The sequence below is a fragment of the Homo sapiens genome, chromosome 15, assembly GCF_000001405.40.
Source record: "Homo sapiens chromosome 15, GRCh38.p14 Primary Assembly".
NCBI classification, from domain to species: Eukaryota; Metazoa; Chordata; class Mammalia; order Primates; family Hominidae; genus Homo; species Homo sapiens.
The window spans coordinates 94565802-94579888 of NC_000015.10; the positions used below are offsets into that span (position 1 = coordinate 94565802).

Consider the following 14087-nt stretch of genomic DNA (forward strand, 5'->3'; position numbering starts at 1 on the left):
CCTGCCACCTTTGTGGCTATCTATTCTAAAAGCATTTTCTCGGCAGCGTTTGTTCTGAAGATTTGACCTGATGAGACTGGATGCTCGAATGAAATTTCTGCTTTATTCTCCCAAGTTAATCAGATGGTTTGACCTTTTGTAAATAAAGTTTTATTGGAGCACAGCCACATTTATGCACTATCTTTGCTGCTTTCATGCTACAATGGCAGAATTGAGTAGTTTCCACAGATACCACATGGCTTGCAAAGCCTAAGATGTTTCCTAACTGGCCTTTATGGATAAGTTTGCTAACCTGTACTCTAGATCACGTGAAGTCCATAATAGTTTATATTTAGTGTAGCTGGAGACACTCATTAGTCTTTTAAGTACAAGCCACATCTTCAGTCCTCTTCTGACAGCAAACCTCTCACAGCCTTATTCCTCTTATCCTCCTCATCTGAGATAACCTTTGGGAATAAAGGCATCCCCTGGGCAATGGAATAAACACAGGATTCATGGGTTGGAGGAGTACTGTCTGGTGTCATCTTAATTCTCTCTCACAGCTGAACAATTTTGCAATTTATAACCACCCAATGGGTTCTTGCCCACTGCCTAGATAGAGCTGATTCATCAAGGCAGGGGAATTGCAATAGAGAAAGTTTAATTCATGCAGAGTCAGCTGAACAGGAGACTGGAGTTTTATTATTACTCAAATCAGCCTCCCCATGGGGGCTAGGGTATTCCAAGGATAGGATGGTAGGCAAGGGAATGGTTACTGCTGATTTGTTGGGGATGCAATCATAGGGGTGTAGAAAATGGTCTTCTAGTACATGCATGCTGAGTCTGCTTCTGGGTGGCAGGTCCCTGTGGAGTCATAGGTCATCAGAAACGCAAATACGTGGAAAGACATCTCCAAAGGTCAATCTTAGGTTCTACAATAGGATGTTCTCTGTATAAGTAATTGGGGAAGCTGCAAATTTTGTGATCTCTGGAATAATGGCTGGTAATCCTTCATGCCTACACGTTAGCAGAATTCAGGCTCCTTTCATCCTCCTAACCTGATGCTCTTTCATTAGTTTTACAAAGCAGTTTAGTTTTGGGGAAGAGCTATTATCATTTGAACTATAAACTAAATTTCTTTCAAATTTAGCTTGGCGCAAACCCAGGAATGACTAAAGGCAATGTGGAAGTTAAATGCAAGATGGGAGTTGGGTAGATCAGATGTCTTTCACTGTCATAATTTTCTGTTTTAATTTTTGCAAAGGCAGTTTCAAAATTACTTAACCTCTCTATGCTTCAATTCCTTCATCTGCAAAATAATAGGAATAAGTACCTACTTTATAAAGTTATTATGAAGTTCAAATGAGATCTTAGAGTATATAACTCACTGGTACGTAGTAGTAATTGTTTAATGTTACTTAGAATTGTTGCTCCTCAGACAGCAGTGACCATGTAATTCACCACATAGGCACATCTTAGCCAGCCTCTTTCAACCAAAGATGAGTCCTTTATTCAAGAGCAAGTAGGTCCATTCTATGGGCTCTAAGGAGTCAATAAAGTGGCCAGGAGCAAAGTTTTTGTCTGACCAGTGTGGCTGAGACTTAGGGAGAATATATATTATATACACATAGCCCTGATTGCTCAGGACAGGCCTGATGTACACATATCATCCTGGCATAATAGATCTCTTTCACTTTTTAATTTGGATGATAACTACACAGCTATTGTATCCCTACAGAATGTTGACTGTCAAAAGCAGATAGCTTCAGGAAGTAAGCTGATATTGGGAAAAGTGAAAGATTCACAGAAATGTCATTAAAAAAAAAAAAAGCTCTTAGGCAACAAGAGACTCCAGGGGTAAGCTGGTGTTATGAGACGTGTCAGGACAAAGAGAACACTATAGACAGTAGGGAGAGATTCTGCCTTGATATTCAAATAGCTTCAGAGATAAAATTTGTATTGGGTTTGTGGCTGTGGTTTGACACAGAACAACAAAATGAAGCCTGTCAAATTCAAGTAGAGAGATAGAGGAATCCCAAGGCTGAAGGTTGGTCTGAGGTCAAACTTTCCTAGAGTTAACTAGGACCTATGGGGACCTATAGTAGGGATAGGCTTATCAAAATAACTCCCAGGGCCTCCTGGGGCTCTTCCTTAGTGAGCCTCTATTGTTTGTGGAAGTGACAATTCTAAGACACCTTTGAGGAGAATAAACCAATTTGATAACAGCTTTTTGTGTGTGTGGTGGAGGGTGGGAGGTGGGTATATATAGAAACAGATAAACACAAAAGCAAGACAGGTCAGTGTTTAATCATGTACCATAATCCTGATCATCATAGAGCATTAGTGGATCCACTAGGGTCGGATATTTACTGGGTGAAACATCTAGATGGTGGCTGGAACCAGGCTGGGACTCTAGAGGTGGACCCTGCCCTTAAAGGGTAAGGGTGATCTTGGAAGGGATGAGCCTGTCTGTCCCATTTTCTTGTGGTTGGATTGAAGTTGACATCTTTGGGTGGATTACAATATATGATCACATTAAGCTACAAGCATCCACAGAATGACCAGTGATGAACTGGGAAAGACCTCTGGCAAAAGAGTTGGTACAATGAACCTTCTGTGTATGTTAATGAAGAGCTTCCTTTGGGATGAAAAAGGAATATGGCCAAGCCTTGCAACTCAGGAGTTAACTTTTCTACAAGATTAAAGAGAGAGAGAGGGAGAGAAGGGAAGAAAGGAGGAGGAAGAGGTGGGGCAGAGGAGGAGGCAGGACAGAGGAGGAGGCAGGGCAGAGGGAGAACCTGCAGCAGAAAAAGAGGGAGAAAATGACAATTATATAAAAATGTCAATACCATAATACAACTTTATTGTAAAGTTAATTTGATGAATGTTTTCTCAATCAAGCTTCCATCAGAGAAACAGAACCCATGCAATATATACCTATATAAAGAGATGTATTGCAAGGAATTGGTTTATAGTATTGTTGGAGCTGGCTAGGCTAGTCTGAAATCCAAAGGGTAGGACATCAGGAAGGGTAGGTTGGAAATTCTGCCACAGGAGTTAATTCTACTGTCTATGGCCCAACTCTCTTGTTTCCAAAGGAAGAAACACTGTTCTTAAGGCCTTTCAATGTATTAGATTGGGCTCACCTAGATTACCCAGGGTAAACTCTTTTGCATAAAGTCCATTGACTGTGGATATTAATCACATCTACTAAACTACCTTTGTAGCAACACCTAGCTTAGTGTTTGATTAAATAACTGGGACTATAACCTAGCCAAGCTGACATATAAAACTGATCATCATTCATGTCAATTTATTTTATTAATTTTTTATTTTGAGATAGAGTTTCGTTTTTGTTGCCCAGGCCAGAGTGCAATGGCGTGATCTTGGCTCACTGCAACCTCCGCCTCCCAGGTTCAAGCGATTCTCCTGCTTCAGCCTCACGAGTAGCTGGGATTACAGACACGTGCCACCAAGCTCAGCTGATTTTGTATTTTTAGTAGAAACAGGGTCTCCATGTCTCTGATGACCAGGCTGGTCATCAATTTATTTTTATAATCATATCTGTTGTGTTTAGAAATAAGTGCTTCTCAGGTATGAGGTGATTTTTTAATAGAGTCAAACCAAAATTTTACAATTGTAATACACTGTGATAGAAATAAGCAGAGTTAGACATTTTTTTTAGACCTAAGATATCCCCAAGTCCCCAGTGCTTCCCTGTTACCTCCAAAAACATCCAACCTAGTCCCAACCTACCATTCCCAATCCTTCCTTCTTTACTCCACACCTCCTCATTTGAGCTACTCAGATCTTTTATCATTCACTGTGGGTGCCATACCCTTCCATGGCATGTACAGCACATACTGTTGTACCAGCCTAGAATGGAGGGGAAACACCCAAATGAATGAGTGAGAGATTAAAAAAGCAGGAAGCAGATGAAGGAAGCACAGCCATGCAAGGTGTCATGGCTCCATGCGCGCTGACTACTGAGAAGAGCACACCAATGTCTTCGTCCTCAGGCACAATCCTGCTGACCCTCCTAGTCACTGATTCAGAGTCAGGCCCCTAGCTCCTAGTGCTCTGCACAGCAGGTTGATACTCCAGACCCATAGAATTCCTGCCTGGGACCCAGGTGCTCTGCATTTCCTAGACAGGGACAGTGTGAGGGCTCCTGGTTTCAGAAGAGGTACAAGATCTCAAAGTTTGGTGATTACGTAGCTAATGGGGTACTAACGCTTCATTAAGGCTTTACAGAAGCAGCTACTCTAGAGAAGGTGATGAAGAGTTCAGTCAATCTTATTAGAGGCTCTGAAAGTGCTGGAAATATCCCTCAAGTTATCTGTCTCCCAGCTGAAGTGGGGGTCCACCCTAAGCTTCCTTTTTTTGGTAGTCAGAGGAGTTATTTATGGCAGGAGAAAGAGCGCCTCCTCTTCTCTGTGAGATGTTGAATAGGGCTGAAAATTTTTACACTTGCAGTTAGAGTTTAGACAAGATTAGTTAAGATGTTTGAAATAGCATGAACTGCTATTCAGGATTAAGCAACCCCAATTATAGGTCAATCCTTGAAACGATTAAAAGACATTAAACATCAGTTTTATTAGATGTCTAAGTACAGGAGAAGGGTCATGAATTAGAGACAATAATTCTTTTGGCCAGGGCTAAAGACAAACTTTTTCCATTAGAAATCATGTTGAGGCTCAACTGACTGACTCTTATGCCTGTGGTCATTAGAAAGTCCTCGGGGGCAGCATTTCTGATAGTTGAGGCCATTCTCAGTTTAGAGCAAACCCCACACAAGCAAATAAAAAGCTTAAGGCTCTGTTCACTAGGACAGCACTTCTGTAGGATCCCAATCTCATGGTGACTCAACTTGGACAAGGTCAAATTTTTGTTCCTTATCCATTAAGGAGACTGCTGCCGATGGATCACTCTCTAGTGATAGAACTATATGGGTACACTGAACTCTAGGATGGAGTCTTTCTGCTCTTCTCTCCATCCGTGGTAGCAAGCACAGCACTTGATTGTTTTACTGAAGAGGCTGTTAGCACTATGGTTAAGAGCCATCTATGGGAGCTCAGACTTCAGCCTGGCCACCTTCTAGCTGCATGACCCACTAACCATGCCTCACCTTCTTCATCCATCCAGAGGTCCTGATAATTTTCTTCCCACTTTAGGGTGTTACATAGAATAAATGAGTGAGAATTGCCACATTTTATGTTTCTAAAACTCCATCTGAATTCAAGTTCTCACACACCTAGATGTGAGAGATCCAAACGTCTGCCTGACTTGAGGTGTTTCCTCTTCCTAGGATGGCACAAGAAAAATGTGTGGGGGAGGGAGCTGGTTAAACCGCACCTGCTAAGCAGGGAAAGAACCTCTGGACTAGTGGCTGACGTAATCATGACCTCTGAGATGTTCATTGTCCAAGTCCATTTTCAGGCCTGTTATTCCATCCTCTAAGCCAATACTAGAGTTTGGTCCCCCCTAACCATTTCAGATAAGCCCCTGGGAAGTCCCAACACTGGTCCAGCCTCAGGAGCTAGGTTTGTCCTCCCTCAGAAGCAAGCAGGGAAAGAAACTGAAGACGCTAGTTTTAGTTAAATATCTGGGAAGGGTTTAGGCAAGCACCATGGCTTGAAGTCGGTAGAACTGTTTAAGGGAGATGTTTGGGGGCAAAAATCAAGCTGGTTTGAGGCAAAATGGTTGATGTCCAGTCATAGAGAAGTTTTTCTTTCCTCTGTGCTCAGAACACTGTGATGTTTGGCAACCCTGGGCTGGAAGCTTTGAGAGCATCTGTCATCCTGTGTCTAGTTCCCATGGTGAGCTGAAATAATCAGGCTGAGGCCTCATGGACAGCAGGTATGGACAGGTGGGAAAGGAGCAGGGAGGAGGCCCAGTGTGGTATGGAGGCTGCGGGACACAGACTGGTTGAAGAAACTTCCAGAAATAACTGGAGGGCACTTGGAGGACTATTAATTTTTAGCAGTCAGGTCTGCAGGGGCTCAAATGCCATAATTAGGTCATTAAAAGTAAATGTGATAGAACTTTATATTGAACCAAATGCTTGGCCAACAGGGACTATGGAAAAAAATGTTTTCAGATATTAAAAGAAGAATATGAATCTTCATTTTATGCACAGACAGGTAAGATCTAGGTAGTATATTCATACTCACATTTACAAATGGGTACATATTTCAAGCTCATAAAACAAGGATCTAGTCTCAAATTCTACTGATTCGGTGAGATACTAGGTGTCAGTTATGCTCTATTCCAAAGCTAGGTTCTAGATCACCTAAACAAAAGCTCTAAAGGAAGTGAGAACCCTGGTTTGAGGACTATACCCAACCCCATACCTCCAGCTTATAAAAGACTGCACAGGAGAAGTTTGAAATTGGCAAGCATGGTCTGCTATTCTGCCAGTCTCAAGCTGGCTGAAAGGGCACAGAGTACTCCTACAGAATTCAACGTGTGTGCCTAGGCCCTGTGCCACCTGCCTCCACTGAAAGAATAATCTGATGTGAGGCTGACCTTTGCAGCGTGACTTTAGCAGCCTGCTCTCCAGACAGCAGACAGTGCGGACCATGTGAGAGAGTCAGCTGTGAGTTTACCTGGGCATGGGGGGCTAGAGTCATCCCATCAGTTACAAGCTGAATGTCATCTTCCAATTGCCCAGGCAGAAGAAGGGAAGAACAGAACTGTGGCTGAGGGACCCTAGCTAAAGCTGGAGAGGTGATATCTGAAAATGCCCAGGAAAAAGGTCATCTTCAACTTCTGCTTCAATTGGGTAGAAGAAATGAAAGCTATAATAGTGGTAATCAAATGAAACGTTTCTCATTCCTTGCCCCTTGTTCCTCCTTGCTCACCACCGTGCCTCAATTCAAATAATAAAACTATTCGAATCTGAAACCCGAAGCAAAGCGGACCAGGGAGGAGCTGGAAGAGATCCAGAGAGAGGCAGCCAACCTTATCCCACCTCCTTGACTGCAAGTTTCAGCCTGGGGGAGGGAAGGAGTTTTAATTTTGATGATATTCAAAAGATCTATTATTATATTGGACAGGCCAATTAATGAACGGAGACTTTTTTAGAGAATAATATGACCAGTTTTATTATGTTTTATTATTATGTTTTATTATGTGGGACTCACTAGAAAAAATCATAAGACCTGCCCTAGATTTCATCGAAGTCATGGGGAGAAAACCTATCCTACAGAATATGTTTGAAGGGCAGTGGCTGGTGAAGAGGAGGAAATATGATTTTTCACTGCACCATGGAACTCGTTTACTTAATGAAACTGGCTACATCCACCCACAGTCACATTCCTTATGCCCATTAGCTTAGCCCCTTCCTCACTTTCCTTATCTCTATTGTGTCCAGTTTCTGAAAACCGTATGTTGCTCTCCTTCGTTACTCTGCTTAACTCTCTCTGCCACATATGCAGGCACTCCTACAGCCCTTCCTGGCCTGGAGGCACTGCTCTAAACTTCTGCTTGCTTTGCTGGGGCTCCGAGATGCGCCCTGTCTCTCAGGATCACCCTTCCCTAGGATTGGTTCATGCCCTATACAATCCAGCTCTCGGCTGGCGTCCACCTAAAGTGAGGACGGGGCCTGGTTGGCTTTCTCTTCCCCCTCTTCCTCCTGTATTACTGCTAGACTTTTGTATCATGTCCAAGCCTCTCCAGTTGAAGACACAGATGGCCTTTGGGAAGTTTTCTAGAGCCCCTGCTACAGAATTTTATTTTTCCTTTTTAAAATTTTTTGGAGAAGGGAGAGAAAAATTTTGCTTATTACATAGGCAGCACCTGTTTACCATGCATCCCTAATTTCTGGTGTCATAACTAATTATTTGATGGCTCCGAGAGGAACTTCCCATTCATTATATGTCATTTAGCAGCAAATAACTTAAAGCAAAGCAATAGTTCGACAAAATATATGCTGCATTAAGTTGGATGTGAAGTTATGAGGGGAGAGAAACAGACAACTCTCACACTGTAGAGTTTTAAAAATATATTTGTTTAAAATAACTAATTGCTGTGAGTGCCAGTAGAGTTGCAAAGGTGTGGGTTGTCAGAATCTGGATATTCTTATCTCTTCGGTCACCCTACTGCCAAATTACTAAGAAATATGATGAGAACACGCTTTATAGTCAAGAAGGTGATTTTCAAGAAATAAGACTAATGTTGAGGTTAAATTGATTTATTGAAAATCTGGAATAAACACTTTCTTAATTTTCTTATGGAGAGCCCTGACCTCTGGGAATAAAAGGTTTTGGGTTTTGTTTTTTCTGTATCCACCCTAAATTACCTGTCTGATCGTAAAGAGGCTTTTGTGACACATAATTATTTTATCTAAAGACATTCTGAGGTTTTTTTTTTTTTGGTTGTTTTCTTCTTGTATCTCCTTATAAAAATATTCAAATGGTAGACCCTGGGTTAAAGGACTTTCTATTAGGTTAACATATTAGATTGCCAATATATTATTTTTTTACTTACAAAAGTGTCAGTTTTATGCAGTTTAACTTAATACTGGTCTTGAAGCCAGTTACTGGCCAAAGTATGAGATAAACCATCTTTATTTATAGACAACAATCATATAATCCTGGATTTCTACTGATTCCCACTATAGCTTGCTGGTTTAGTAGCCATTTGAGCTCAATATCATTAACTATAAATACCTCAAGCAGCAGACATAATAGGGATTTGAGAACATGGCTGGTACAGTAGAAAACAAAACTGTCAAAACAACCAGTTGAATATCTTGTCTCAACACTAAATTGGGCTGGTTTACACACCTAATAAGACCAATCATGTTCCAACTGGTCAGAGAGAGGATCAAAAGCCAACTCATTACAAAGTGGTCTGTTCAGTGGTCAGCAATAAATCTACTCAATATGGTTGTGAACTTGGTTGAGTTGAGCATCAAAAACTACTTATGGTGGGAGTGCTGATGGTAAAAGGACAAATCTACTGGAGTAACTAGAGTTTCTCATTACTCACATATTATCACCACTAGCAGAAATGGTGGAAAGCTCTTAACTGCGAGTTTCTCATCTTACTTGTTGAGAATAATCACTTGTACCCAAATTCAGATATTGTTGCCTTGGTACTAACATACTGGAATGGTAGAATTCAAAGAAGCAGATAATCTGGAAGGAAATACAACTATGGCTAACAATGGCTACCTTCTCCAGGTGCATGGAGGAATCATACCTGCCAGCTTCTCTGAGAGAAGAAGGGGTACTGGATCCTGAATTACAACTGAAGCTCATTCTTTCACAAACAGCAACAAGATAAATGAGGGTCAAATAATCTAGCACTGTGTGAAATTTCAAAACTCAACACTTCCACCCAGAGTTAAAGATGGTCAAATAGAGAAAACAGAAGAGTGAACCAAAGTTCAATTGGAAGTAGAACCACTAAGATAAAGATAGATAGATATCTCATAGTTATATGTATGTGTGTATATCTATAAAATAGCTATAAATACATATAAATATAATATATGGTTATATCTATATGATATATAGTTATAAGTTAGTTATCAATAGATATATAGATCCATTATATATAGATATAACTATAATTATAGATATAACCATATAGTTATATAACTACATATAGATATAACTAGTTATATAGATATACATAGATATATAGATAACTATATAGTTATATAACTATATGGATAACTATATATATATAAAACCATTACATATAACTATATAGTTAATATCAACTTAATACATAGATCTTGAAGCCAGTTACTGGCCAAAGCATTAGATAAACCATCTTCGTTTATAGACAACAACCATATAATCCTTGGTTTCTACTGATTCTCCCTATGGCTTGCTGGTTTAGTAACCATTTGAGCTCAATGTGTCTATCTACCTATCTATAACTACTTCTCAATAAATAGGTTCATCTTAAGTGGAAACATGTAAGTCGTAGAATTCTAAGAAATATGTTCAGCCTAGCCAAGTGTTGTGCTGAACTCCTATTAACCACAACAGAGAAGGCACCAGTTTTAAGAGACCTATGAGGAGACCCAGAGCCAGCAAATGAGACATGGGGTTTTATTAGGAGCTTACATACAGGGGAGAGGGTCCTGTGGCGGTGGACTGGTCAGAAGAACCGCCTTATGCACAGAAATGGCCCAGTGGCATTGGGCTGGATAACATATTTGCATGGCCCAGGCTGGGCAGGAAAACTGTAACCACTTGCAAGCAGCATGCATCTTGTAGAGCATTTTTAACTTAACACCCTTCCCCTAATGACCTCCACTGGCAACCTTCATTTAACACAACACTCAGGGCCCTCAAACCTCTGTACTGCCCATGTTCCACAGAATGGGTCAGGGGCTCAGATGTTCCTCATAGACAGACGATGAAGTTCTGAGTTTGCTATTTTTGGATTCCCTATCTTAAAACACACACTCAGGTGCGTCTGCCAAACAGGGTCGTTCTAAGGGTATGCTTAAGTTATTGCTATCAGGTGCATTTACCCTACACCAAGATGACACACTACAAATCCATCTGGGGAAGCCTGATTTTCACGTATTTACCCAATGTTATCTGCTAGTAGGTATTCCCTGACCATACTGTGCCGTCCTCTGGATACAGCCAGGGAGAGGAGAGAGAGCAAAGAAAGGGTGAGGGGCCAACCAGCCCTGCCTCACCTCTGCAAACATAACATTTTAAACTGCTCTAAGCCAAGCCAAGAAAGAAGTCAGTAAGCCTAAGGCTATTGGAATGGGCAGAACATCTATTCTATTGCTGAGACAAATGAGCAAAGACGGGCTTCTTATACAAGTCAAACAATTCAACACGAGTTTTGGTGTTAGTTATCAGAGCATACAGACTTTGTGTGGTTATGATTTCTTTCTAACCTGGTCCTGAGATCTCTTTGTTGAGAGTGGCCATAGCTGATACAGTCACTCTCAAGAAAAGTCCTAAGTGAAGGGAGAAAGTTAGGTTTTGGTGTGTTACTCAAGTGAGATACGACGAGGCAGGAAAACCAAAATGCATGAAGCAGAAGAAATGTATTACTTACAAATCCCAGAGAGGTTGAGGAGGCCCACGGAATGTCCGAAAGCAGCAGGGAGTGCGACCAGGGGTGAGGCGCTCAGGAGAGAGGAGACCTGTGGGACTAGGCCTTTATTAAGGTCCGTGGATGTCTTGTAGGCCTTTTCCTGGCAGGTGTGGATTGGCTAACTTAAAGAAAACACGTGCAAAGAGTCACATGACTCTTACATTGACCATTGGGTTTTATCATGAATAGCAGCTGTAGGATGCCTTGGATTTGGGGTTGGTGAGATGAGGAACAACCGGGAGGTGTCACACTCAGCCACTAGAGGGCAACGTTGAACTAGGCCAAAGGTGATGGGGCACGACTAGGTTTCAAATAACTTACGTGAGGCTTAAAGCAATGACTTTATTAACTAATTTATGACAAGATTTCAGAATTCCAGCAGAGCGACTGTCTATGAAGGCAGTGTGTTTCGAGAGAAAGTCCTAGCCTGGCAGACCAGGACTTGTGACTCCTCCATTTCTAAAGCCATCATCCAGTCCTGGTGACTTAACTAAATGAAGGTGAGTGCTAATAGATTCAGCCCCCACAAAGGGGAATGATTCTGGTCACCCTTCTCAGAATCAGGTGTGTTCACCGAACAAGGTGGTTAAGTGTGGGCGTCCCTGTGATCCAGGTGCAAGCAATTGGCTGATGAAGAACCGCCTCTTCAGGCCCCAGAAGTAAGCCTTTGAAAGCTCTCTCATACAGTGCTGCCCTGTGCTCTGATGATCTTGGGAAAAGGGGAACTTTTCCAAGGAGAGATTTTATTTGTAGTTATCCCAGATCACCAGAGTAGAGGCTTCTGTATTTGGCCCTAACAAAGAAGAATGCATACCACCCAGAGAGCTTGGACTCTGAGCAAGATGAAGTATGCAGACATACCTTTGCGTGGTCTCCCTTTGGAAAGGAGGGGAGCGTGTTGTAGTTGTCTGTATCAGGCAAGATAATAACTTTAAAAGAGTATAAAGCAAAATGGCAATACCTGGGTGCTAGGTTGCCTTGTGATGAAATGTAGTGGATTTGGATTGTTTTTGTCTGTCCAATACTTTTTCCTCTTTGGGAGAATTGGCTCTTCCCATAATCTTTATGACTGAGTGGGACCCTCACAGCACAGACCTCTTCTTGGTCACAGCAATGGGCATAGGATCCAAGATATGTTCCATTGATCAATTGATCTATCTTTACATCTACCTTTCTTTCTAACTACTTACTTATTTATTAACTATCTATATATTTACCTCTCTTTCCATCTTTGTATTTACTTCTCTTTCACCTATCTACCTACAGATAAAAATAGATGTAGACGAAAATGTGTTTATATATGAAAAATAATGTTACCAGAGGCAACAAATTCCCTTCAACCAGCTTGAATTTGGTTTCTGATATTTGTATCTAAATGGAGTTTGGTCAATTCCACACTCTTTGTCCCAGTTTTGCTTACATAGTATACAATCTCAAAAATAAAGCAAAGAGTATCATTCTCTTCCTTTCCTTTTAAGATAACAGGCACACGGAGAGTTTAAGTAAAATACTCAAGGCCATGCAGCTTTTAAGTTGCTGACCTGGGATGTGAGCTCAAGCCTGTGTGACTCAAGCCTTAGCACATTTCTTGTGTGCCAATCTTTTTTTCCTTTCTTGGTATCATGATAAATACGACATTTCATGGACTCATTGGCAAAAACCACCTGGTTTCACAAATAAAAATGAAGCCTGTGGAGGCACTGTGCAGAAAAAGCAGAGTGTTTGGACATTCAACTATTTTTTAAAAGAGAAAAAGTGAATTTAGCCAGAATCATGTTAATAAATATAGTTTTATATTAATAGCACCTTACATCTGTGCGTCTCTATTTTACAGAGCACCGTGATATATCCTTCCTTTCTCAGTAAATTATTTAAATTACTCTGGTAAGCTGGCAGAGTACTCGTTATGATTGCAGAGAGGCCATGTGTTCTGGGCTCAGAGAGGCAAGGTACTTTGCCTAATGTTTCACAGCTAGGAAGAGATAAAAGCAAGACTTGGGCCCAAATCTTCTGACTCCAAGCTACAGTTCTCCAATTAATGGGAAAAATGGCATTTCTAACCCAGTGACCGTTGTGAGATTATTCTATGTGTGGTATTTTAAACCCTGCTAGGTAATTTAAGTTAAAAAATGGTTCTTTTCTTGTTTCATGGAAAGACGTTGTTTCTGTCTTCTCTCTCTTCCTCTCTGAATCCCTTATTTATCCCACATAACCATGGACCCGAATGTTAATCCCAGTCACAATGATTGGATATATATGTTGATTTCTATGTGCCTGACTGTTAAACGCCAAATAAAACCATTATCACACTCCCAAATTCTTGTTGCTCAAATTCATACCCCTTCTTTCTATTCTTTTTTAAAAGTCCTGATGCAATTCTGATCATGTGGGTCTCTTGCTTATAAAATTCAAAGTCTTCTTTGCATGGCATCTCACCCCTCACCCAATGCGATTCTGAAGCTCAGCCAGGATGGGATCCTGGTCCATGGAGGTCTCAGGTGAGTGACAGAAATATCTTGGGATCTGGGTTTTCTGAGATGCATGGTCAGCACAGCTGCAGAGGGAGGAGGAGAAGATCATGCAGGCCCTTGGCAGCCAGTGAAGGACAATGGGCTTATGTGTAAACATCGTTGACAGTGGACTGGAGTGGCAGGCAGATGGAGGAAGGGGAAAGGAACACAGCCAAGAGAGTGCATGGAAAAATGCCACAAGTGCCTAGACAAGACGCCTGCAGCGCCAGGAGCAGCCAATCTTGGTCTCCATTATACCCAACTTGGTTTGTGGGATCAAGGTTGATGGGGGGGGGGGGGGAACGCTCTTACTCAAATGAATAATAAGATATGAAAATACACGATTTTGCTTTAAAATACCTACAAGAAAGAAAACATTTTAAAATGCGCTTTCTCCATAACCCCCAATTTAATATTAGAAAGAATGGTAATGTGCAAAGAGTCTGAATTTTAACATTAATAAAATTAAATGGGAATTTGATTATGCTGTGTTACAGCTACACATAATGTTCT

The 14087-nt window shown here is 41.2% G+C and overlaps 1 annotated feature.

Moving 5' to 3' along the window:
- Positions 11233–11312: an enhancer, noted in NCBI's record as "active region_10135". NCBI's record gives its function as "activates an Ori minimal core promoter by ATAC-STARR-seq in GM12878 lymphoblastoid cells {active_cell/tissue: GM12878}" and the evidence as "EXISTENCE:reporter gene assay evidence [ECO:0000049][PMID:35858748]".